Source organism: Homo sapiens, chromosome 3, assembly GCF_000001405.40.
Source record: "Homo sapiens chromosome 3, GRCh38.p14 Primary Assembly".
NCBI lineage: Eukaryota > Metazoa > Chordata > Mammalia > Primates > Hominidae > Homo > Homo sapiens.
This window is the reverse complement of record NC_000003.12, coordinates 186,357,241-186,383,738: the sequence shown is the minus strand read 5'-3', so window position 1 is coordinate 186,383,738 and position 26,498 is coordinate 186,357,241. Positions and strand designations below refer to the sequence as shown.

At 45.7% G+C, this 26,498-nt stretch overlaps 1 protein-coding gene across 3 annotated transcripts in view, besides 3 other annotated features; it reads left to right on the top strand.

The window, feature by feature from the left end:
- Positions 822-1,323: an enhancer, noted in NCBI's record as "NANOG hESC enhancer chr3:186100205-186100706 (GRCh37/hg19 assembly coordinates)". NCBI's record gives its function as "activates a minimal SCP1, AML or CMV promoter by ChIP-STARR-seq in naive H9 embryonic stem cells {active_cell/tissue: H9 hESC(naive)}" and the evidence as "EXISTENCE:reporter gene assay evidence [ECO:0000049][PMID:30033119]".
- Positions 21,346-21,435: a silencer, noted in NCBI's record as "silent region_14983". NCBI's record gives its function as "represses an Ori minimal core promoter by ATAC-STARR-seq in GM12878 lymphoblastoid cells {active_cell/tissue: GM12878}" and the evidence as "EXISTENCE:reporter gene assay evidence [ECO:0000049][PMID:35858748]".
- The window catches only part of DGKG (diacylglycerol kinase gamma), a 215,034-nt gene continuing 210,040 nt past the window's right edge, over positions 21,505-26,498 (top strand). For all 3 annotated transcript variants that reach the window (NM_001080745.2, NM_001080744.2, NM_001346.3), the window contains exon 1: positions 21,505-21,793. The gene's annotated coding sequence lies outside the window, so the exon portion shown is untranslated. The remainder of the gene's footprint in view (positions 21,794-26,498) is intronic.
- Positions 22,220-22,737: an enhancer, noted in NCBI's record as "H3K4me1 hESC enhancer chr3:186078791-186079308 (GRCh37/hg19 assembly coordinates)". NCBI's record gives its function as "activates a minimal SCP1, AML or CMV promoter by ChIP-STARR-seq in naive H9 embryonic stem cells {active_cell/tissue: H9 hESC(naive)}" and the evidence as "EXISTENCE:reporter gene assay evidence [ECO:0000049][PMID:30033119]".

Sequence of the window (26,498 nt, the reverse complement as noted above, 5' to 3'; positions counted from 1 at the left end):
TTCAGGGAGAGTGAGAGGACACAGTCCTGGGACTGGATTCTGGGATGGGGATGGATCCCAGGACTTTCGTTTTTTTCTGCTTCTCTGGTATGGGAATGTACATACCACACCCACAGGCCGATCTCATTGTTGGACAGAGGACAGGGGCAAGCAGGGAATGGGATCAGAACCCCCAGAAGCTCAGAACGGTGCCTCTGAGCCTCGATTGGTTCATGACCCACATTCGAATGACGCTGCCCGGGCAGTGGCTTCCGCACAGCTCTCAGCCTCAGAGCATACAGATGAGCGGACTGGCAGACTCCCTGCTGCCCATCCACTCAGTTCACTCAGCAGGTTTTCTCACTCTGCTTCTCTCCCAGTCTCTATGTGAGGGTCTCTCCAGCCTTTAGCCCACGCGTCTCTCCCTCCCGGTGGCCTCAGCAAGGCTGGCAGGGTCTCTCAGTGGGAACTGGCAGGCCACAGGGCCACAGAAGTACAGGCTGGGGTTAAGGAGCCATTTAGAGACAATGACTTCATGACAATGGCCTCCCCTCTAGCCTAGCTGTTAGCACTGTCCTCGAAAGCCCAGAATCAGCTCCCAGAATTACGGTAAGGAAACCAGCCGGGTCTGCTTGTGAGGAGCCTTCCTATTTCCTTTTTAGCACAAAAGACCCCACAAAGGGAATAAATTATGACCAAACCCTGGGGTTCATGTGTTGGAATCCACTGGAGGTGGAAACATCACTGATACACTGAGCCCTGGATATGATCCCTGTTCTACTGCTTACTAACTAGATGACTTTGGGCATGTTACTTATTCTCTTTCTTCATGCCTTGCTATCTTTATCTGTAAGATGGGAATAAATAATGACACCTGTTTAACAGGGTTGTCGTGAATTTAAATGAGACTTACTTCCTGGCACGTGAAGATTTTCCAGTGTTCTACAAATGTTAGCTAATGCTTTTCTTACTACAACTACCTCCACCACAGCAACAATCACTGTCATTATCAGCAAAGCTTGTTAGAAGAGCTAACCCCACACCCCAAAGTTAGAATCACCCTTAGCTACCATTTCATTAGCACCTACTGTGTAAACACTGCTGGGTGCCTTTGTTGACATTAACTCTTCTAAGCCTCAAAATTAGCCTGTGTAGTGGGCCGTATAATTTCCCAACCTGAGATGAGAAACCTCAGTGATAATAGAGGTTTTCCTAAGGTCCCAAGGAAAATGAGGATAAGGAAGAGGATTTGATATACTCTTGATCTGAGCATTTCTCTAGTTATTTATGCCTTGTTTCATTCCCAAAGAGGAGTTGAGGGCATGTACAAGTCATCGGTGTGCCAAGCAGCGGTGTGCCCTAGAAAGTACAAAAGCACCAAAACTGAGGACAGCTGGGTCGAAATCCCAGCTCTATCACTTACTAGCCAAGTGCCTTGAGTATGTAAATAAAACCTCTGTAAGTTTCAGTTTCTGTTACCCATGGATTAGCTATGCAAACTGAAAGGTACTCACTATTATGCCCATTTTTCTGATAAGTGACTTAATATTCAGAGATATTGAAACTTTACAAAGTTTACAAAGCTATTAGGTAAGTAAAGCATAGACCTGGATACTGGCCCCAGGTTGATCTGATTTCAAATTCCAAAGTTCTTCCTATGATTCTGGGCTATCTGAATGGTGCCCTTCCCAAGTACAGAGCTGGAGTTTCACGTAGTATAATGCTTCCTATTACATTGTGGTACTGTTGGTTTTCTAGTGGCATTACCCTTAAAGGGAAAAACAAAACAGGTCAATAGACATTCTGACTCCTCCCTTTGCTATTGTCCCTCCCAAATGACTCAATTCCTTTATTCAAGAATAATTAAAAATACCTCCTTCAAAATGTGAGGTGTGAGAGAGTTACCACTAGGGAACATATCTGAGTCATGAGGTACCAAATTATGTTAGCAGCGGCGAATCCATACGGGTCTGCAGCAACCTCAGTTCTTGCTTCCTCACAAGAAAGAATTCAACCGAGGGGCACAGGGCAGAGTGAGAGACCAAGGCAAGTTTTAGAGCAGGAGTGAAAGTTTATTAAAAAGCTTTAGAGCAGGAACAAAAGGGAGTAAAGTACACTTGGAAGAGAGCCAAGCAGGCGACTTGAGAGATCAAGTGCGCAGTTTGACCTTTGACTTGGGGCTTTAAATGTTGGCATGCTTCCAGAGTTTGCATCTCTCCTCTCCTGATTCTTCCCTTAGGGTGGGCTCTCTGCATGCACAGTGGCCTGCCAGCCCTTGGAAGGAGCTGCATGTGCAGCGTGTTTACTGGAGTTGCACGCATGCTCACTTGAGGCGTTCTTCCCTTACCAGTTCAATGTTCCTAGAAGGTCGCACACCAGTTAAACTCCACCATTTTGCCTCTTAGTGTACATGCTTGAGCCCACTCAACCAAATCTTGAAATCTTATTGGGAAGATGCTGATCACCAGTTTCAGGTTTTTTTCCATCTATCGGGAGACTGCTTTTCTCTGGCACTGGCTGTGACCAATTATTATTTTAGAGAGACAGCTTAACGCCACCTGACCACACTTGATGGTTGCCTGACATTCCTGGTGGGGTTTGGCACTCTCCTGCCCTGCTCATGTCTGACTAGCTACCTACTGTAACAAGAGAATGGGCTAGAGGAAAGGGAGGCAGCCCAGATTATAGCTTGAGTTACTGGTTTGTGTTCCCATCACCCTCTGTTCCATGTAACATTGCACCCTGGCATCTGCCCCAGCACATCATGAAAAAATACCCACCCAAGGTTATCAGTGACCTCTTGGTGGTCAATCTCATGGGCCTTTAAAACACTTCCATCATTCAGCCAAATACATACTAACAATGTGCTATGTAAATGCACTATGCTGAGTGACTCACGGATTACAAGGGTGCCAGACCTCAAAAAGATTGCAGTCTACGGCGGAGAATGGCAAGAAAAAAATATAACTAGAATACAAAGGAGAGTAAGAAACACAGAAGTACAGTCAGCTGTGAGGGTTGTCCTCACGACTCATCTCTCTCACCCGCCTTCTCCTCACCCTACTCATCTTTTCTGGGTGCTGTTTCCGTTCCCATGAATGAAACTACCTCCCTGACAACCACACACCATTTAGCATCTTCAGCCAAGACCCCTCTTCCTTAATTGAGTTCTAATCATTTAGCTGCCACTTTGATAACTGCAAAGGTTAATTGCACATGTCAGCTTGACAGGGCTGAGGGATGCCCAGATAGCAGGGAAAACATTACTTCTGGGTGTGTCTGAGAGGGTGTTTCTCAAAGAGATTAGCACTGGAATCAGTAGACTGAGTATGGAAGATCACCCTCACCAATGTGGGTGGGTGCCATCTAATTTGTTGACAGCCTGTATAGAACAAACAGGAGGAGGAAGAGAAAATTCTCTCTCTCTTTTCCTGAGCTGGGATATCCATTTTCTTTTTTTTTTTAATTTTTTATTTTTTATTATTATTATTATACTTTAAGTTTTAGGGTACATGTGCACAATGTGCAGGTTAGTTACATATGTATACATGTGCCATGCTGGTGTGCCGCACCCATTAACTCGTCATTTAGCATTACGTATATCTCCTAATGCTATCCCTCCCCCCTCCCCCCACCCCACAACAGTCCCCAGAGTGTGATGTTCCCCTTCCTGTGTCCATGTGTTCTCATTGTTCAATTCCCATCTATGAGTGAGAACATGTGGTGTTTGGTTTTTTGTCCTTGCGATAGTTTACTGAGAATGATGATTTCCAATTTCATCCATGTCCCTACAAAGGACGTGAACTCATCATTTTTTATGGCTGCATAGTATTCCATGGTGTATATGTGCCACATTTTCTTAATCCAGTCTATCATTGTTGGACATTTGGGTTGGTTCCAAGTCTTTGCTATTGTGAATAGTGCCACAATAAACATACGTGTGCATGTGTCTTTATAGCAGCATGATTTATAGTCCTTTGGGTATATACCCAGTAATGGGATGGCTGGGTCAAATGGTATTTCTAGTTCTAGATCCCTGAGGAATCACCACACTGACTTCCACAATGATTGAACTAGTTTACAGTCCCACCAACAGTGTAAAAGTGTTCCTATTTCTCCACATCCTCTCCAGCACCTGTTTCCTGACTTTTTAATGATTGCCATTCTAACTGGTGTGAGATGGTATCTCATTGTGGTTTTGATTTGCATTTCTCTGATGGCCAGTGATGATGAGCATTTTTTCATGTGTCTTTTGGCTGCATAAATGTCTTCTTTTGAGAAGTGTCTGTTCATACCCTTTGCCCACTTTTTGATAGGGTTGTTTGTTTTTTTCTTGTAAATTTGTTTGAGTTCATTGTAGATTCTGGATATTAGCCCTTTGTCAGATGAGTAGGTTGCGAAAATTTTCTCCCATTTTGTAGGTTGCCTGTTCACTCTGATGGTAGTTTCTTTTGCTGTGCAGAAGCTCTTTAGTTTAATTAGATCCCATTTGTCAATTTTGGCTTTTGTTGCCGTTGCTTTTGGTGTTTTAGACATGAAGTCCTTGCCCATGCCTATGTCCTGAATGGTAATGCCTAGGTTTTCTTCTAAGGTTTTTATGTTACCTAAAACCATAAAAACCCTAGAAGAAAACCTGGGATATCCATTTTCTCCTGCCCCTGACACTGAAGCTCCTAGCTCTTGAGCCTTCAGACTCCAACTGCAGGTATCAATGGATTTCCTGGTTTGCCAGCTTGTGGATGGCAGATTGTGGGACTTCTCAACCTCCACAATGGTGTGAGCCAATTCCTTTAATATATCAATCAATCTATCTATCCATCCATCCTTCTGTCGGCTCTGTTTCTCTGGAGAACTCTGACTAACGCAATGGCCTTCAAAACCAACATGTTCAAAGCTATACTCTCCATCTTCCGGCCACCAGCAACACCTTCTAGGTGAAAGGTGGCATTGTTCACCAGCTGCCCAAACAAGAAGTTTGCTCTCCCTCCTAACACCTTTCTCTCCCTCATCCCCCCAAAATTTAATCAGTCTCCAAAATTCTTTCAACTCTTTCTCCTGGATATTCCTTGAGCACATCTGCCTTCTCATCTCTGCAGTCACTTAGTCTAGTTCCAGCCAGCCTTTCTCTGGATTGTTCAATGAGCCTCCCAGATGATCTCCTTGCCTCCACTTCCACCTATCTCTGATCTGCTGTTCACGCTTTATCAGAGTACTCTTTCTAAAAGCAAAAAAAAATCTGAACTCATACTTTTCATGCTTAAAATCCCCATTGTCTTCAGCACAAAAATCAAGACTCCTTAACCTAACCCACAGGGCTTTTCAAGGCCTGACCCCAGTCTCGTCTCTCCTCCCTCTCCTTTCCCACTCCGCATCCCATCATGGTCCATAATTAGGGTGATTGAATAGTTTTTTCCTCCAAATTAGGATACTTATGAGAGAGAAAGGGATCCTAGTCATAATTATGCTGGGATAAACTGAGATTCTCCATGGCAAACTGGGATGTTTGGTCATCCAATCCATATGGCCATACCAGCACCCAAACCCATAAGTTTGTCCCTCTCTTCCCAGAGCTAACTGGCAATTTCTCTTTGTGTCTCTTGGCTTAGGTTTTCAGAGCAGGAGGATCCTTTTGTCCCAGCTCATCTTTTCAAGGCAAGCCCAAGTTATAACCACTGGCCAACCTCTAGGTTAGTTGGCCATCCTTATGTCAGGTGATCAAATGGCCCAGTCAGGGTGTCAGTGTGTGGGCTACCATATGGCATAGGACATGGGTACTCAAATGTTCATGGCCACTCACTGAGGCAAGGCCTCTGGGTGGGGACTCCCTTAGAATGTAGAGTATGGAGTAGACTAGAAGGTACTTTGAGTTATCTCTAGAGTATTATGAATTCAGCAAATGTCTGTGGAATGAGTGGATGAATGAATTTTAATCTTCTGCTTTTTTTTTTTTAAAGGAGTCTCACTCTGTCACCGAGGCTGGAGTGCAGTGGTGTGATTTTGGTTCACTGCGCCCTCCACCTCCTGGGTTCAAGTAATTCTCCTGCCTCAGCCTCCCAAGTAGCTGGGATTACAGGCATGCACCACCATAGCTGGCCAATTTTTATATTTTTAGTAGAGACAGAGTTTCTCCATTTTGGTCACGCTGGTCTCGAACTCCTGACCTCAGGTGATCAGCCCACGTTGGCCTCTCAAAGTGTTGGGACTACAAGCATGAGCCACCGCACCCAGCCAATCTTCTGCTTTTAAATCATTCCCATCCCTACCTCAATATCTCTCCTGGTCACTCATTCTGTCTCTAGCACTGACATTTTTCATGCTAAAATGATAATTTCAAAAGCCCCAGAGCCAATTGAATGTCAAGCAGGCACTTATCCTGGCCAAAAAAGACACAGACGGGGTTAGCGTTGGAGGATGGGTCTTGAAGGCAATATAGGGCAGCGATTAATAGCAAGACTTTGCAGTTCAAATCCCAGCTCCACCACTTAGTCACTGAGTAACTTTGAGCAAGTTGCCTAACTTTTCTCACTCTTGGTTTCCTTATAAGAAAAATGAGATAAAACTCATCCTAAGGGACTTATTCAAAGATTAAGTAAGATAAAGTGTGAAATTAATGCCATGACATTCAGTAGCCATCATTACTATTATTACTACTGAACAAGGAGAGGTTCAGCCCAACATGACATACTTAGGCATTCTGTAAGAAGAGCCTATCAATCACATCCTGTGCGCTCTAAAACAAAACCTGCAAAAAACTTTTCCTAAATAAATAGGCAGCCTGGCTGACTCTGAGTAAAGCACATGAGGGAATCACATGAAAAATGTATTCTATTCTGCTAGAAGCAGCAGGAGAAACTCTTTCTCATCTCTGACCATTAGGACTTTTTTCTTTTCTTGAGCCAAGATGTATTTCCCTCTAACTTTTGGCTTGTTGTCTCTGATTCTATCCCTTGGGTCCTTTAAGAGAGTTCCGTGGAACTTCCTTCCAGCCCCACGAAATCAGCTGGAGCTTCTATCATCTTCTCCTCCACATAGGCCACAGATGGTTGGTCCAAGAGTGAGCACTTCACTCATGTCAATCAAATTCCTTCCCTGGGATTTTAAAAGTTAGAACCAAGACAAGATATCATTGTTTTCTGCCATCTAGAGAAAGTTGGTCTGGAGTGTGAGAGGATGAGGCTGAAGTTCAGAAAGAAGCAGAGATAAGATTGGGCTTAGGAGGAAAGGGGAGGGGAAGATACAGAACTGATGACATTCCATCCCTGATTCCAGTTGTTCATGAGATCCATTCATTTCCCTGTTCTTCCTGCAGCTTGATAATTCAGCGGTTTGGGTTCACTTTCTGTTGTTTCTTCTTAATAGAGTTTTGACTAACATGGAACCACAATGGATACATCAGACCCTTCTTCCCCAGGATCACCATCAAATGTTAGAAGACAGTTCTGTGTCCTCTGCCCACGAGTCCTGCTCCTCAGCATGGTCCACTTAACTCTGTGTAGTGTTCAGAAGGGGCTCATTGGGGCCACATAGAGCTTTGCCTTTGTTTCACTGTTGGGTTTATCTTAAAGGCTTTGTTTGAACAAATGATTTTGTGGTTTAAAGATATTTGAAAATAATTGCCTTGATTTTAAACTATTTGAGGCAGAGCCCATCATTGTATTTTCAGTGTTTAAAATATTGCAGCACACGGCAGAATCAATAAATGTTAGATAAATGAATGTATTCATTGGGTTCAGCTTCCTTCAATACCCTGGCTGTTCTTTGAGCACACTGGCCTGTAAGTCCCCTGGAGCTGTCCTTATCCACCCTTTAAAAAGTCTCCTCTCTTCCTTGAGAACATTTGCTTGGAGATAATAGGCCTGGACTGGACATCAGCAAGGTCCCACACAGTTCCTCCTCATACCCCAGCCACTCTGCCCGGCATTTACCAGCACAGCCAACTTGTCAGCTGGCTAACTTGGAGGATGTCTTTTCTCCCCAGTCGAATTTTCTTCTCTCTTCCTTTCAAATCCTGCTGTGCTGTTATTCAGTTATGGAAACAGCAGAAATCATTTTAGAAAGGAAGCCAGCTGGTTCATTAGTCTGATTAAACTCAAGCAATGGAATCTGAGCACAGTTCACATGATGAATGGTTTGCTTTCTCCTTGGCCCCAGTGAGTTTTGCAAAGATTATTAATCTTGGGGCTCAGTCACCCCTCACATCTGCAACACCATCTGGGTCAGAGAAAAAGGATAGGGCTACAGTGAGATGATGTCAGGGCTTTCTGAGTCGCAATGTTTCCACCTCCTCCTCTTCCTCATTGCAGACCTGGAGGACTCCACGAAGTACACCAGGCTCCCCTATTCTGTCTTAAAGACCCTGATCTTCAGAGTCAGCGAGGCTTGTCTTTAAAATCAGCTTTTGCCACTTAGCAGCTCTGTGATTTGAGGCTCAGATTCTTCACTTAAAAGTGGGGATAAAAACACATACTTTGGCCAGACACAGTAGCTCACGCCTGTAATCTCAGCACTTTGGGAGGCCAAGGCAGGTGGATCGCTTGAGCCCAGGAGTTCGAGACCAGCCTGGGCAACATGGTGAAACCCCATCTCTACAAAAAAATGCAAAAATTAGCAGGGCATGGTGGTGCATGCCTGTAATCTCAGCTACGTGGGAGGCTGAGGCAGGAGGATCACTTGAGCCTGTGAGGTTGAGGCTGCAGTGAGCCATGATCACACCACTGCACTTCAGCCTGGGTGACAGAGCAAGACCCTGTCTAAAAAGCAAAACAAAACGGAAACATATGTTTCAGGGAGCCACAAGGAGTGATAACTACTTAAACTTCCAAATGAAGTGGTTCAAAATGTGCGGAGCACAGGAAGGAGTGGGAAGAGGTGAAAAATGACTCAGAACAAGGTAAGAGGGGGCCAAATCACAAAGGGTCTTACAGGCTGGCCAAAGTAGTTTAAGATTTTATATTGGAAGTATCAGGGAGACTGTGACAAGATGAAATCACGGGAGAGTGACATGATTAGATCTGTACTTTGGGAAGCTCATTCTGGCTGCAGGACAGAAGGTATAGATTAGGAGATTGGACTGGCACAACAATGCTTGTGGCAGGGAAAATGACCAGGAGGCCAGCACAGCTGTCCAGGGAGAGAGGATGCAAGCCTAAACGCAGGCAGGAAGTGCAGCAATGAGGAATCTTCCTCTTTCGCAGCAGATTTGGAAATCAACAAGAAAGCAAAATGAATTGTCATCGCTCAGGGACTGAAGGTGGAAGGGGGTCCAGGAGAGGGGAAGTCTCAGCTAACCCTGAGGTTCCTAGCTTGACTGAATTTGCAGAGAGTGGGAGCCATTCTCTAAGGAAAGAAACACAGGGAAGATGCAAATGTGTGGGGTACTAGGATACAAGTTGAATGTGGGACGTGTTGAGTTTGAGGTGCTATTTTCAAATTTTCCATTTAATAAAGTGGAACCCAATATGATGGGAAAAACTGGACAGACCCTGTCTGAGAAGACCACCTCCCCAGGTCCTATTTCTGGAAAGATGAACAGCCAAAGTAGCCAAGACCAATATTTGTTTATCCCTCCAGTTTGACATTTTTTTCCTGGGAAGTCCTTTTGGAGGCTATAGCAGTGATGGCTGGGTTTAGAAATCCTTCTAGGTTTCCTACCAAGAAATCTCACTGACTGTACAGAACACCAAAACCTACCATTTCTTTTATTTGGCCCTCACCCTCCAGGTATGTCTGTTGCAGATATGCTTTTTCTGTACTGGTTTCGGGTATGGAAGGGGGAGTGCAGCAGCTCCAACAGAAGGGAACAGCAGCAGGTTTGTGTACCTGCAGAAAGAGGCCAAAGATGACCCCAGATGACGGTTGCTACTTGGGGAGGAAAAACCACAATGATGAGGAGAATGTCAGGGAAAAGCAAAGGGGTAAATAATATGCAGGGACAATGAAATAGAAAAAGAAAACATGACAAGCAACCTACATAAAAAGCAGTCCCCAAAGTGGTCTGCAATGGGAGAGAAAAAGAAAATGGACCTCAAAGTTACCTCCAGAGGATGGCTTGGCACAGTAGAAACAGCACAAACTGGCCGGGTGTGGTAGCTCACACCTGTAATGCCAGTACTTTGGGAGGCGGAGGCAGGCAGATCATGAGGTCAAGAGATCGAGACCTTCCTGGCCAATGTGGTCAAGCCCTATCTCTACTAAAAATACAAAAAAAATAGCTGGGCATGGTGGCATGCACCTATAGTCCCAGCTACTCTGCAGGCTGAGGCAGGAGAATCGCTTGAACCCAGGAGGCAGAGGCCACAGTGAGCCGAGATTGCGCCACTACACTCCTGCCTGGTGACAGAGCGAGACTCAGTCTCAAAAAAAAAAAAAAAAAAAAAAAAAAAGCACAGAGTTTAGAGCCCTATAGTCTTTGGTTCAAATTCCAGGAGAAAACTTTGTTGTGTGACTTTGGCCAAGTTGTGTCAACTCTCTGAGGCTCAGTTTCTTCTTCATCTGTAAAATGCTTATAATGATACCTTCCTTGTAGGGTCAGGATGAGAACTGGCCCAGCAAGGTGACCAGTGCAGAGGAGGGGATAGATTAATTTCAGTAGTTGTTACTGCTCTTTTTGCCTCCATTTCTCCTCTTGCAGCTGCTCATGGGTTGGTCCCCCCTGCTTCACCACCACAGGAATGATCCTGCACCCCTTTGGGGCACTCTGGCCAAATGCCCCCAGCTCTAGGAGGACACTGATGGCAGGACATCCCCTGGACATATCTCCCCACACAAGGAGCTCTAGTCTCTGCTTGGTTTGTGAAAAATTGAGTTTGGCACCAGCTTCTCTGGATTTTGAAAACATCTGGTGATTATGAGGAGAAGCAGCAAGGTGGAAGGAGCCTGGGTCCTGACGCCCAACAGGACTGAGTCTACTTCCTGCTACCCCAGGTGTGTGACCTTAGGCAGCCCATCTCACTTCCCAGACTTCAGGGTCTTCTCTCCCTTACAGGGTGATTGTGAGACTGAAATGGCATAAGAGAGAGTGTCTGGCACACAGTAGGCACATGATGAGTGTCTTCATTCTTTCGTTTCTTTTCTTCTCTGTATCTTCAAGTTTCCAGAGAAGATTAGAAATCAATTGTAAAACTGCATAGGACTCAATGGCATCAATCAATTTCTTAAATTACCATTAAATATAATTGTCAGCAGAAGAGAGCCGAAAAACATGCATCCAGAATCCAACAAAACGAGCTGAATCTCACTCTGTGGACTGATGGCAAATTGGCTGAGTTCCTATTCCTCCCTTTTTTTTTAATGCTGCAGAGATGAGGTAACACCAACACCCAGGCCGCAAAAGCAAATGTCTCAATGTATTTGTTTTTCTAGTTTAATCCATTTCGACTATGAAAGGCAGACTGTCATCTAGAACAAAGTAGCCCAACGATAATTTGAGCTCATCCACAACTCAGCTTTGGGAGTTCAACTCGGGACTCTTCTCCGTCTCCATTCACCACCCAAACACAAAAGGATAAACAGCATGTTTCTACTGTTTATTCCTTTTTTATTTTTTTCTTTTTCTTTTTTTGTCTACTGTTTATTTCTATATTAAGCAATCATGAAAAGATCATGGAGTTGCAGCCCACATTTCTATAAATTGTAATGAACAAACATGATGCCAGTAAAAAACAAACAAACAAACAAACAAAACTAAAGCATGCAGGGATGTGCTTCAAGTTTTGCCTCAAGACCTGAGGAGGAAGACACAAGTTTATCCTCCACTGACAGTGATATTTCTGTGGGAAACATTTGAAAAGAGCCATGTGGCCAGTAGTCTCTAGTTTCTGTACCTGCATCAGCCTTAGGAAAACCCACCATCTGAAACAAGCTTACTGTGATTCTCAACATGGTGCCACAAACCATCACTCCCAGAAACTCATTAGGGCTTCTATTGAGGTATGCAGTGAAGGAAAGGAGTCACTCTGAGAGTCCCCAGGGAATGTTCAACCATAACCTTGGTGGAGGTAGGGGTAGGAACAGCAGGCAGACCATTCATGTTAGAACCAGAAGGTAGGTTGCATCTCTTTCTCATCCCTATGTTAGTTTCTACAGGGCATTGGGGTAGAATGGTATGGTAGGATCTATGCTGTACTAGTAAATATTTGACAATCAGGTATGATGGGGGTGGGAGAAAGAGAGTCCTGATTTATAGCATTTGCAGATTGCTATGGCTTAAATACTCCCACCATGGCTGGCTTGAAACTAGCACCAGATGTCACTGGATGCAGAATTGGGAAGAGATGAGCACCTCTGCCTCCAGCCCACTACTTGGTAGGCCCCTGGGACCTCCACTGCCTGCGGTTGTCAGTGGGTGCCGCCATGTCACACAAGGGCAGATGGAAGGCCTTGAATAGACTTCAGGACACAGATGGGGCACCATCATCTGTCCCTGAGAAGTCCCCCTACCCACCTTTTTGGACCCCTTGTGCTCCTCTCTTGTAGATCACTTGTGAGGCCATGGTGTCACCATGTGTCCACATGCCAGTCCTCCCATATAAACACAGGGCCCCGTTTTCATTTCCATTCTCCCACACCTGACGCAGTTCCTGGAAAAGCAGGCATGTAAATAAATAAATGTTTATTGACTGGATGTTGGAATGAATGAGTGAATGTTCAGTGGGAGGGGAGGGCGGGGGAAGCACGGAAGCTGCCATCACACATCTGCAAAGACCCCCTGCAAAAAAAAGAGTTGACACTTGAGGCCAGGAGTTCGGGACCAGCCTTGGCATCATAATGAGACTCCATCTCTACAAAAAGAAAAATTGTTTGTTTGTTTTTCTAATCAGCCAGGCGTGGTGTCACACGTCTCTAGTCTCAGCTGCTCAGGAGGCTGAGGTGGGAGGATTGCTAGAGCCCAGGAGTTGAGGTTCCAGTGAGCTATGATCATACCATTGCACTCCAGCCTGGGTGACAGAATGAGACCCTGTCTCTAAAAAAATTTTTTAAGAATAGGATTTATTCTTCTGGATATCAGTGGACAAAACCAGGACCAAAAGGAGGAAGTGGCAAGGAAGTAGGTTTAGAGTCTCTGAAGAAATAGAGTTCCTACCTCCTACAAGTCTATAGAAATCAGGGTCGTCTCTGTCTGCTACTTTTCAGTTAGCATCCTCTGCCCATCACCCACTTGAAACATCACCCTAGTCTATTTCCCCTGCCTCTACACCCTAACACAGGGAAAGGAATTTTTGCTACTGCCACAAATATTGAGGGAACTCCACTTGTGCAATCCCTAGCCCAGCAGAGGTTGGGAACATTCAAAGTAGTAGAGGTTACAGTCCACATTGTTTTCTCTCATTATACAAAGCAAAGCCAGGTGCGATAGTTCATGCCTGTAATCTCAGCACTTTGAAAGGCCAAGGCGGGAGGATCACTTGAGCCCGAGAGTTCAAGACCAGCCTGGGCAACACAACGAGACCTCATCTCTACAAAAATAAAAATAAACAAACAAAAATAATAACCAGGCATGGTGGTGCACACCTGTGGTCCCAGCCACTCGGAAGGCTGATGCTGGAGGCAGTCAAGGCTGCAGTGAACTATGATCACACCACTGCACTCCAGCCTGGCAGACAGAGCCAGACCCCCATCTCAAACAATTAATCAACAGAATTCCTGGTAGATGTTTGAGACTCCTCTTTTATTCTCCCTCCACAGACTGTTCAACTCTCTCTTCTTTAGGCCTTTAATCCCACTGCATCTTCTTACCACCAACTTCTCCCCTGTGTGGTCTATAATTTTTGCTCCACCATGAACCTCTCAGAGACAGAAAGCAACACCCCTGTCTGAATCTCGTGTCTAGCACAGCATCTACTCCCTGGAAGTGCCCAAGAAGCATTTGTTAATGAACAAATTCACAAATGAGAGGGGAAAAAAGAGTACTTTCTATACCTCTAATTTATATATCCCCAATTGGCAAACCTCCCAGAAACACCTAGAAATTATTTACGGAATAAAGTAAGCGATGACGCTAGCCAGAGATCTGTGAGACGGTGATTTGGAAAAGTTCAGAGCCCCCCCAGTCTACATCCTTCTAGGGCCAATTGTAAAAATCTTTTTCTCAGGAACAAATAACCACAAAAACTTTAAAATACAGGCAGTTCCCTACGTAGGAACATGCTGTATTCTGAAAATCTATTTATGAAATTGTTGTTTGAAATTCAGAATACACTTTCTCATAGAACTGTGTTCAGAAGAGTAACTGACAACACAGCTCCAACTCGAGAGATTTGCAAAGGAAAATAATAGGAAGCACTAAAGCTATGCTATGGAACCACTCTTTTCTTTTACACATCATAAAATAGACATATGGAATGTGTCAAACTACCCTGTAACCTTTGGACAACGGGCAATCCTTGGAAGCAATAAAATGAAATTTTAAATGGTTTCTTTTTTATTTATATGAATGCTGATACCTGAGAAAAAATGCACGTTGTCTTTGCAGCAGCTGCTGAGGAGATGCTTAGACCAGGCTGTCCTGCTCAGACTCCAGGGCCTGGAGGAATCACCTGCAGGCCTTGTTCAAAATGTAGATTTCTAGTCTCTCCCTCTAGGGAGGCACATTCGGTGGGTCAGGGTAGAGCCCAGGAATATGCATTTTAACAAGCACTTGGGAAAGTCTGACCCAACTGATGAGAGGACCACGTCTAGAGAACTGCTAGCCCAGAAGAGATGCCACATCACTTCTACGTGGGCTGAAGGCTCATCTCCTGAGACTGCCTCTGTCTGTTTGGTACAGAACCATGCCTCCTCTCTCATTCTCCCGATTCCTTCTCCAGTGGGAGGAGAGGGCAAGTAAGGACCTGTCACTCCACAGGCTATGTATAGAGTCAGGGATTCAGGGTAAACAGCATAGGTGAGAGATAAAAGAGATCCCATCACTCATTCAGCAAACATTGAGGGCTGAGCTGAGATGCAGCTGGCATGCTGGTGGTTGAAAGAAAAATTTTTGTAGGGTGGAAAAATAGTCTCTTCCGTGAGTACTGCTCTCCCAGGTAGTAACTTCCTGCTAGCAGCAGCTACCCCAGTGAAACTCCCCATGGGATGGGGTTAATAACGTCTTCATAGGATGTGTGTGTATAAAGTGCTAAAAACATTATAAATGCTTAATACATGTTTATTTATTTCTATTATCATGTTTCCCTACAACTATATTAAAATATACTTGGAGAATCAAGACAAAGACAAAAAATATATAGCCAAGCAACAATAAGCCAGTTTTATAGAATACAGTTCAGTTGGTTGACAAGTGCTGTAGAATGAAAATTAAGGCAAGTTCACTGTGAGAGAAGCTCTCTTAGAGGAAGCTCACAGCACACTGTGGCTTCTGGTTTCTAATGCTGCCTCCACCACGTACAGGCTGGGAGATCCCAGCCATCCGCCTCTGTGTAAAGTGAGGATGACGATTCTCTCCTCACAGGGCTTTTGGGAGGGTTAACCTCCAAGTCTGCATAGTGCCTGGCTCATGATAGGTGCTCAGTGAGAGGAAGCTCTTTAGCAAGATTTGAAAATGAGAATAAGCCTTCCTGTAATTGTAGAATCTCAGAGACAACAGGGACATGTAGTTGTCTTCTTTATATTCAGTTTCATATGATTGATCGCCTACTATGTGCAATACTCTGTGGGTGATAGAAAAACAATTAAGATGTAGTCTAAGGAGGATAAATTGCTGTTCCATGGATTGGGGATGGACAACGGGTATGAAGCATATACAAGTAATCATAATACAAGGCAGTCTGTTGTAAGTACTGGAATAAATTATAAACAAGTTTCAATGGAAGTACGGGAGAGAGAATAATTAACTTCAGCTGAGTGGATTTAAAAGGCACTATAGAAGGAGCAAGAGAGAGAAAAAAGGCAGTTCTCCCAGCCGTGGGAGTAGCCTGAGCAGGACAGGGAGGGGCAGGTGCAAGGTGTGTTGGGAAGACAAAGCCGGGCAGCGTGCACACCATGTCCTCGAAAAGCTTACCGGACGTGCAAGTGGATGAGTGACCTGGGACCACTTCGTGGAGGGCCCTGAATGCCATTTTAGGGACTCTCTATTTCTCTCTATTTAAGGCAGTAATAACAATAATTCCATTCATCCAGAACCTACTATGTGACCAATCCTATTGTAGACTGTTCATAAATATTTCTTCTATCTTCCATAAAAGCCTATGCCTAAGTATTATTATGTCCCTTTTAAGGATGAGGGATCTGAGGCTTTGAAGGCTTTTGAACAAAGAGAGGGGGCTTTGGGGTCTAAACTCTCAGAAGTTACTCTGGCAGCAGCAAATGAGAAGAACAGATGAGAGAAGTGCTGGCACTTGGGGCTCCCTCAATTGCTAACATGTTGTGACATTTTGTCCCCCCAAATTGGTTAACAGGAGATAAAGAAGTGACCAGGATTTCTAAAACTAGACTGATCTTTTCAAAAGTTTTGCGGGCTGGGCAGGCTTTGAAGCAAATGGTCATTTAGGGAGTTAGAACCTTTTCCCCTCTGTGGCTCTTCCCAGCGTTTCCTGTGAAAAGCTTCCCCTCCAGGGACAACAGTGAAGAGTTCCACGGCGGTGTCTCTTGACCAGACATAGCAGAAAACAGACCTGGAGTAATGTAGTGAACCCAAATTAGCCTTTTTACAAGCTCATTAAAGCATAAAGTTTAACATCCTTTGCCCAAAATATAACAGAAAGAAGAAAGCCTCCTTTTTTCTCCCTACTCACTCACGCCTCCTTCCCCTCTTTCCACCATCTGTCTCCGGATAGGCAAGCATCAAAGCAGGATCTTGGATGGGTAGGTGTCTCCTTCACTGTCAAGTAAACACAATCAAAGTTCCTGGGAAATCCACTGTGGGCAACTCCAGTGACACTGTAGAATTCCAGGCAGGGGGCAGATGTGCACTCTGGTAGTCCTGAAGTCCACCAGCATCTTTCATGTTAAAATATTACTATATTTTAATGTGGTGTATAAAGAGTTGCTGACCTGAATTGCTGTTTCTTAGGAAGCAGACACATTAGCAAGTAGTATAATAACTAGGCTTTAAAAAATAGACTACCTTAAGGGAACAGACTATCTTCAATAACTGTATTTTACATTTTTGCATAGCACTTCTAAAACACTTTCAAATAAGCTTCTTCATTTAATCATTACCTTGAGATGCATGTATTACTATCCCCACTTTGCAGAAGAGGAAATTGGAGCTTAGAGACTCAGATTAGCTCTTTTGACTCCATCTAATTCTAAATTATCTATTTATTATTCTGAACCCCATGGCTTCTCCTTTGTGCTTTCCTTCAAGCTTATCAGTTGATATTGTGAGAATTTTCCCAGCTTGCCTTGTGGAGGGCCCCACCCAGGCAAGGGGGCGGTACTTAAAAGTTGTTCAGTTGCTAGTACTTAACAGAGTATCAGTGCCAGAAAGGGTTGTAGGGACCATTTCCAGCCTCCTTATTTTCTAAGAAAACTAAAATGAGGGAATCTCCTGCCTACATTCCCAGGGCTGGATCCCAAATCCCATTCATGGCAAAACTGTGACCAGGAGCTCCTGGTTCTCCTGTTTCCAACCCACAGTCTCACTCCACCACAGCCTTCACAGTCAAAACCAAGAGGAAAGTTAAGGTTCGGACTTGGCTAGTATCTGTTCCCATCCTGTCATTGCTTGATAACATGGAAAGATTCCATTAATTATGAGATCATAAAATATTAGGTGGAAGACAGCTTGGAGATAATCTGGTATAATCCTTTGTGTTCTGTACATGGGAAAAGTGAGGCCTAAGAAGGCGAGCAGAACCCCCCCGGCCCACCTTGCGGTTGGTGACCCTGAACTCAGCTGTGCTCCAACTGTCAAGTGCTGTTCGCTCAGCTTGTCAGAGACAGTGGGACTAAAAATTTCCAGACACAGGTACCTGACTCAGCCCTCGCTTTGCCTTGGCAGTGGAGATCAGGCATCAGCTGCTGGCTTGGATGATGTGTTCCCAGAGCAACATGGTGAGTGTGAGCTGCCAACATTGAAGTCTCAGGGAATGTAAAGTGTTGAACCAGTTAAACATCCAAAAATGCCCCGTCTCTCAGAAACAAGGGTGACTCATCACAGCGCTTGGGCTACAATTGGGAATGGCATTAGGGTGGCTGTGGCGGCTAAAAATCCATGCTTAGAAGCCCCCAGCTTCGTTTCCTCTGGCTTTTTGTTCGCAGGTCTTTTCTCTGGCTGAGAACCAACATACACATGCTCCACTGCCAAACCCAGCCCTCCTCCTCCATGAAGCCTGCCTTGACTCTTTCAGCCCAGAGGAGGTCTCCTTTCTCAAGCCCTGAGAATCTGCCCTGTGCAATTTGGCACTTGATTCCATACTGTCGTTCACTGTTTCTTAACCAGTGGAGCGTTTGTTTTATAACTGACATGGATTGCAAAATCTTTGAGGAGAGGCACTAAGCTTCCTCCTCTGTACCCTACAGTAAGTCTCAGGGTGTCACCACAGAGCAGAGACATGCTCAGACTCACAGATAGTCCTGACCTCAAGACTCTTTCTGCTTTACCTTATGTTTGCACATACAGCAAATGCCCAATAAATCCTCACTTGTTTCACCGTAGCTTCAGCCTTTTCAAATAAAGAGCTCAGTTGCAGGGCCTCTGTCAGCCCATGCAAATTAGAGAAAAGGCATCCCTCCCTCCAGGCAGACATAACCCTAACAGGTTGTGTGGCTGGGCAAGTGGGGCATGAGTTGGATTTCAGCCCCTTAGCTGGGTGCCCTCTGCAGCAAGCCACATAAGCCACCTGGGCTCTGGCTCTTCGTGAGAGCAGCAACAAGGACTCCCTCCCCACAGTGCTCCATTCTGATGGGGAAGGCCTACCTTGGGAAAGCTGGCATCAGATACTTCCCAGCTTGCTTCCCAGCTCATTTCCCATCAAAAACAAACAACAAAAAATCCACACCTGCCATAGCTCCTCACTGTGGAACCCAAGTCTATGCTCCCAGAAGAGCATTTGGAGACTCCCACAATACTGTCCCAGCCTTCTTTTCTTGTGCTGGGAAGACCCAGAACTCACCATGAATTGTCCTACGTCTCTGCTTTTGCTTTCTCCCAGCCTAGATTGCCCTTGTCCTGTTGATCTTTAAGTGAGATCTCTATTCCCCTTTAAAATCCGATCGCAAACCCTACCTCCTCCATGATGCCTCCATTAGCACTAATTGTTCTTGGTGCTTCTTCCCGCCCCATCCCTCTTTGCCTTCCACATTGCTTCAGCCTCTACTACCACCCTTTTCCTCCATGTTATTAGCATGTAACTCAGTCCACACAGCCTTCTCTGAACTCCTTCTGCAGCAACTCAGATGCATCATTTGGCTCCATCCTGATCCTAAAGGAATCCATTTGCAAGCAAACCGATGAACAATATTGACTTTACAAATGATTTCTTTCATAGGACCGGGGGCTTTCATAGCCCACCCCACAGCAAACTACTTACCAATCTTTGCAAGCATCTCCCCTGTCCAAATCCCTGGACAACTTGGCAACCCTGTTGCCTGTTCTCAGGCAAGTTGCTTGGCAACCCTGTCCTCAGAGCTCCTCCCCTCTCGTTACCCTTCCCCAATGTGCTCTCAACGAAGCTAAGGCTCCACACTCAGTCTCTGCATGTCTTCTTCATTTGTTCCATTCAATTTATTTCCTTCCTGTCCTAATAGGCAGAGCAACTCAATGTTGTCCTAACACCTATTTGCAAACATGTACCCCAAGTCCATTATGATGCTCAGCCAAACACAGGGTCTCCTTCAGTTTAGCCTTCTTTAGAAGGAGTCAAGAATAGACAGCCAGAATGTTTTTCTTGTGACATGTATGTGCATTTTCCTCCATTGAGCATGCAGTCAAAAAAAGCAAGGATTGTGTCTTCCACATCCATGCAACCTAGCAGAGTGAAAATATATACCAGAAACCTGTGCTCAGGGCTCCTCTCTTCCAGGGATGAGGACAGTTCTAAGCCCTTTCTGTCTCTCAGTTCTTCTTTCCTCCCAAGTAAGGCCCAGGACTGGAGTTACGGGGAAGCACCTGAAGACAGAGTAGGAGTTTAATAAATAGCTGTAAAATGAATGAGTCAGTGACTGAAGAGGAAAAAAAGAAAGGACAAGGAAGAACTTTGAAGGCACCCTCACCAAGATTATTTCAGCCTAGCTGAAGGAAACTTTGAGAAGCCACCCAGGGTGATAGAATGGATAAGACCCAGAGGATAAGAGGAGTCGCAAACACGGGGTTCTGGTATCAGCTCTGTCTTCATCACTGTGTGGAATCTTAAGGAGATCTCTCAGCTCTGTTTCTCATCTGTCTCACCAGCCTGCCTGCAGATAGCCTAGTATGGACACCACCCAACAGGGTCCTCAGGGCTGTTTGACATTCGTGTTTGAGGCTTCTTCCCCAAATGCACAGACACCCAGAGCCCCTCGGCGCCTCCACACTCTGCGGAAAGCTTTTCTTGGCTGCAGTGCTGGCCCGGGGACCTTCACTGCCCACTGGCAGAAAAGAATTCTCGGCTGTGGAAATGAGTAAACTCCACATATTTTAAAGATGACAGTCTAAACTCCTAATGACTCTAAATGTGGTGTGAAATGGACAGCAGTCATCTTGCTGTGTGACATGCCTGAAATAGTGTCACCACCACCATCACCCCCTCACGTGGACATGCACGTCATGGAAAGAGAAGCAACAAGTCATAGTGCCTTGGCTAATGTAGCTCCCCTATTCCCCCCGACCCCTCACCCCAGCGTCTTTTCTGTGCTCTTCTACATTTTAAAAAAAGAAGAGATCTATTTATTCTGCAGGAATACAGTCCAAGGTCACCTAAAAGCAAAGGAGAATGGGAATTAAACACACCCAGAGACCCGACCCATCCAACAGAGTCCAGCTCAGGCAGGCTGTGCCAGTCTCCACCAGGCTACGAGGGGAAAACCTTTTCGAGTTGAACTGCCACCAATCCACTGCCACCGAAGTCAAGGTTGTCAGAAATGACCCTCTGGACAGGGCTAGTGATTTGGATCCTAGAGATACTGAGTTCCTGGGAAACAAAGAGAACTTGTTGATTTTGTATTTTTATTTTTTCTTCGATTTGGTCGGGATATTACGGTAGCCTTGACCAGAGTTGAGAAAAGGAAACGCCCAGTCGGTATTTATTTGTCAAACAGTTGTCCTTTGCCTCCGGGGTCAGGGGCCCTCTGGTACCCACCACTGTTGCATCCTCTCCACACTCCTAAGCCTGTAACTCCTCCTCCCAAACCGAAGCCCTGTCAGTAAAAAGCGTCCTAATGATGCCCGCGCCCTAGTTGCACCAAAGGGGGTCAGGTTCCCATCGAGCGGATCCACATTCGTGTGTGCGCACGCGTGTGCATGTGTGGAAGCGCGTGTCTGTGTGTGCCGTGTGTGTACGCGCGCGCGCCGGTGTGTGTGGCGGGGGCGGGCTCTGCGCCCGGGGGCAGGGCTCCGCAGTGAGAGTGGCAGCTGGACTTGCCAGGCTGCGAGGGGCAGGGCACAGAGCCGCAGTGCCGTAGTAGCGGGCCACGGAGATAGACAGCTTTGGAGCTGCTGAACTCCGAGCACAGGGTGAAGACCCCGGCGCTACCAACCACAGCCTGGCAGCCTGGTCTCCGCGGCACCCACTGGGGCTGCATCCCCCTCCCCCGAGAGGGCTGCGCAGGCGGGAAGACGCCCAGAGGCCAGCTTCGGTCCCCCTTCTGTCTCTCGGTTCCTCTTTCCTCCCAAGTAAGGGAATAAACCGCGAAGAAGGAGCGCCCCGGGCCACCGCGCAACCAAGTGTTGCCTGGTGAGGTAAGACGGCGGCCGGCGCGGCGGAGGGGGTCCCCGGCTCAGGGAGCACCCGGTGCAGCAACTTGGTAAAGGAGGGCAAAGCGGGAGCCGGTCCCGCGGCCAGGGAAGGGGCTGCAGCCAAAGCCACGGCGCCCACCCCGACAGTTCCACCTGCCACAAAGCCCTGCAGGAAGGGATGCCCCGCTCGAGGGGTGCAGGCTTGGGGAACGCACAGGGTGGGGCTCGGCTCTCTCTGCGACTGAGAGGCCCCCTCAAGCCTCAAAGCTGTGCGGGTGGGAGGCGGCCTTGCTCCAGGCAGTTTGCTAAAGCAACTGGTCGGATTTCCTTCTTCTTCTGGACTTAACCTTGGCTCCTTGATATCCAGTTCGCGCTCCAGGCAGTCCGAGAAGCAGGAGATGCTTTTCCTAATGTCTGGCCGCCAAAGCCTCCGACCGTCCCGCGGGGTTCTAGGACTTTGGGGGCACTCCACAAAGCCCCTGCGCAGGGCGACTTAAAGGGAAGCTGAAGCGAACACGGACACCTCAGAGAATAAAGGAGGGAAGGGTCGAATCTGAGGTTGATCTGTGTAGTCTCAGAGTCACAAGATGTGTCCGTGTGTGTGCTTGTGTCCTGAGGAGTGCGTACCCGGAGTCACCTGTGGTGCTTTCGCAGACTCCACCGGTCCACCTCCCCTTGCCTAGTCTGAGATTTTCTTCGTTTGAACTAGTGGAATAGAATTAGGGGAGGGGGCTGTGGAGTTCTAAAAAGCCCTACAGGTGATTTGACGTGCTGCCCCCATCCCCACCATCACTGCAGTGGAAAGCTTGGGACTAGAGCTAGAACCACCTCCCAGATGGGAGGGATGAGCTGCGGAACTCAGGGTGGCGGTCGAGACCCCTCCCCCAGTCGCCCCCCGCGGCGGGAGCGTCTGCTGCAGCGCGAAGCGATCTGTGGCTGCGCCGCAGTGGTGCCCGGGAGCGCTGTGAACCCGTGGGCGCGCTCTCCCGCGCTGCGCCGCTGCCTCCTCGGACTTCATTAGCATACGATGACCTCTCTGTGGGGAGGAGGGCCTGGGAGGGCTGTTTGTCATTCCTTTATTTTGGGGGCTTGGCGACGACACTTTGGATCTGGAGGTGAACACCAGGGGTCATGATGAGAGACAGTGGTCAGGACACAGGACTGGAAACGACCCCTCTGGTCTGGATGGGGGAATCAACTTTGTTATTTTGGTGCTTGGGATTCTCTGTCTGTAAAATACAGCTGGCAGAGCCACTTGCTGGCACACAGGGCACCCTGGTTGTCAATGAAGGAAATTAGATCATAGAGGGCAAATGTCGAGGTTTGGTCATGAACCCAGGCACAGACACACACCCCTTTATATTTTATGTCCCTCTCACTCTCATTCCAGGCATGTGTCTAACATGGGAAGGTACTTAACTGTTTGTCATATTAAAAGACTACATTTGCTGGAGATTCCATTCCGAATATGAATTATACTCCTTAAATAAAACGGCTGCAACTAAGCCAACTTCCCGGTCGTACTCCTGATCTATGTCTTTTTTGCCAATCACCCTTAACGTTTACACCCAGCACTATAGGCATTACTACAGGTATTTTTCTGGGAGGGGCTTTAGGGTGGGAAGCTAGTAGATGAGTCTTTCCTACCTTAGAATTTTATGGAGTGGTTGGTTCAGATCAACCGAGACATGGGGAGAAAACGACAAACATCAGCGTGTCTTGAAATCTAGACTCTCAGAGATGGGAGTAACTACTAAGATCATCTGTTCCAGCTCCCCCAACTGCTCCAACTCCCCACACAACACCATCAACAGATGGTGAGGATCCCTCCAACCCGGACACTCCCAGAGGCCCAGGCTGTGCATGTGTGAGCCTCTGCGAGGAAAGAACCCAGAAGCCAGCAACTCTCCCCTCTCCTACTGATGGGAGTTGGTGGATGCTGGCCCCATCTCCTCCCCTGGAAGAGAAGGGGGAAAAGGGCGGGGAAGTACCTTTTCTTTGTGGTAAAACTTTAAAACTTTTAAAATGTATATCTTATTGTATTACATCATTATAATGTACTCTTTTAGTATAAAAGTAATTCATGTTCATTGCCTAAAAATTGGGAAGTTGAAAAGTATGCAAAGAACAAATCAATCACCCATGATCCTACCACTCCCATCCCACACTGTTAATATACTGGCATATTTCCTTTCCATCTGTTTTTATGCCTCGAAATTATACAATCCATAGAGAGCCAGCATTTATTGGGTGCCTAATAAGTATACTTTGCATGGTGTTAAATTTTATATTCATTATATCCTTTAATCCTCAGGAGTCCCTCTGAGGTGTTATTACTATCAATCCCATTTTTCTAGGGTTGCATTTTTCTAGGGTTCTAAGACTTCAGGTGACTTGCCCAAGTTACATAGCTAGTATGTGGCAGAATCAAGATTCAAACCCAGGCTGTCTGACTCAAAAGTATGGTTGCTGAGCCCCTGTAGCTATTGGTTCTCTGCTTTTTTCTGAATTAGTGTTGTAGCAAAAGACCTTCATGAACATTGTTTTCCTGGCTGCATATTATTACACTGTTAGTTATTTAAGTTGCTTCCTGTCTTTAGCAACTACAAATAACTCTGGGCAAAGTCTTTACTGCACACACTTCCCATTACTTCCTTTGGATAGATGCCTAGAAATAGATCACCAGGCCAAAGGGCATGAATGTTTTAAGGCTCACAGTATATATGAGAAGCCACTTTTCAAAAAGGGTACACTAATTTAGGATTCCATTCACCAGAAACAACTCGGCCATAGTTCAAGCAGATGACCTTTAGGAATCCAAATAGGCCAAGGCCTCACACGACCAAGCCACATCACACGAGCATTCTTCAGTCTCATGGAAGAAGGAATCACACATATCACCTTGCTTTATACACTCGGGAGGGATTATGGAAACCATACAACATAAAGCTATACCTATTTTTATGTGAGCAAGTATCAGCTGCAGAATTCTCTAGCTAAATGTCACATACTAACTTTGAACAAATCAAACCATCATGTAAAATATACAAATGTGTATAATGTCCCACTTCTCCATACAAGTCATTATAACAACATTCACTCTTGTGAACGTGCATCATGATCACAGCCAGGTTCAGCAAGCTTAACCCATCAGCAACAGCTTCCTCACATACTGGCCATATTCAAAGAGTTGTTTATTTGTACCAAGTATCAGAATTCCACACCCAACCATAGTGAGAGCTGATGTCACTTTATAAGTAACAGAGTTTGTCTGACTAAAAAAAAAAAAGAAATCAAGGCTAGTAACTATTAATAGTAATAAAACAATTTAAAAATAAAGTTATACCCATCATTTAAAAAAAATGTCCTCAGGTGGAAACAAAATGTGGCTGGCAGAAGAGAGATTGAATTAGGCAATACAAAACACACACACACACACACAAAGGGTTAGAAGAAAACAAACTGGCCCTAGCTATGAGTTGTTCCTAGAGCCTCGTTGATCTCCAAGCCACCTCTGCCACCAGCAGTGGGTTTAGTAGCCCTGGAATATAATCTGTTGTTGCTCCCACTCTGAGATCAATTTATGCAAGATTCAGCTCAGGTCCGGAAACATCCTTCAGGGAAGCCCACCCTAGAGATGTCCTGAATCCACAGCACCTGTGCGTAAGCTTACCTCGCTATGGCGAAGTCACTATTTGCATATCTCCCACTGAACTATGAGCCCCCTGAAGGCAGAGACCATGTCTAATCCTTTTCTGTATCCCCAGCACCTGAGATAGTGCCAATCCATAGTCAACAATTAAATGTGACGAATGAACGAATAAGAGAATTTTCCAGGTCCTGTACTGGATGCTTTACGTGCATTTCTCTTTCAGCATACCTTTATTCTGCTCAGGCTAGTCAGTCCCAGAAATATACCTGAAAGGTGTCTAGAGCTGTGCTGTCTGTTTTCACATGTGACTATTTCCTGTTTAACTTTAGTTCATTAAAATTAAATGAAATTTAAAATTCAGTTCCTCGGTCACACCAGTCACATTGCTAGTGCTTACATGCAGCATGTGATTTCTGGCTATCATATTGGAGAATGCACATTTAAAAGATTTCCATCATTGCAAAAAGTTTAACTGGACTGTGCTACAGTGTAAGCTTGGTGCAAGCAAAGTGTGTGTCTATGTCTGTCTCGTTTTCCACTGTATCCTCTGCACTAGCACAGTGCCTAGCCCCGAAGAGATGAGGGAGAGAAAGATAAAGGAGGGATGGTGGTAGTAAATGTTGTGGTAATATTAGCAATAGCACTTACTGGGCACCGACTCTGAGTCCCACATTGGGCTATGTTCTGTGCACGCATAGCTTCACCTGATATTCACATCACTACACTCCTGGTATTAACCCCATCTCACAGATAAGGAAACTGAGTCTCAGAAAGTTTCAGTAATTTGCCTATGGTCACAAAGCTGATAGGAGAGACTGAGATTGAAACTCAGGTCTATATGATTTCAAAGCCTTTTCTCTTTATTTATCTTCTCTTTTTTTCTTGGACCTTTTGCTTTACTGCCTCAATAACTGCTGTGTGTTGTGATGTGGATTAGGATTGCCACCATCTTGGCTTCCTGGGAAATCACAGAAAGGGGACTTTTGAAAGCTTTCCAAGAGAAACAATGGGTATAATTTATGACTCTGAATCACATATCAAGAGTGCAAAATTTTG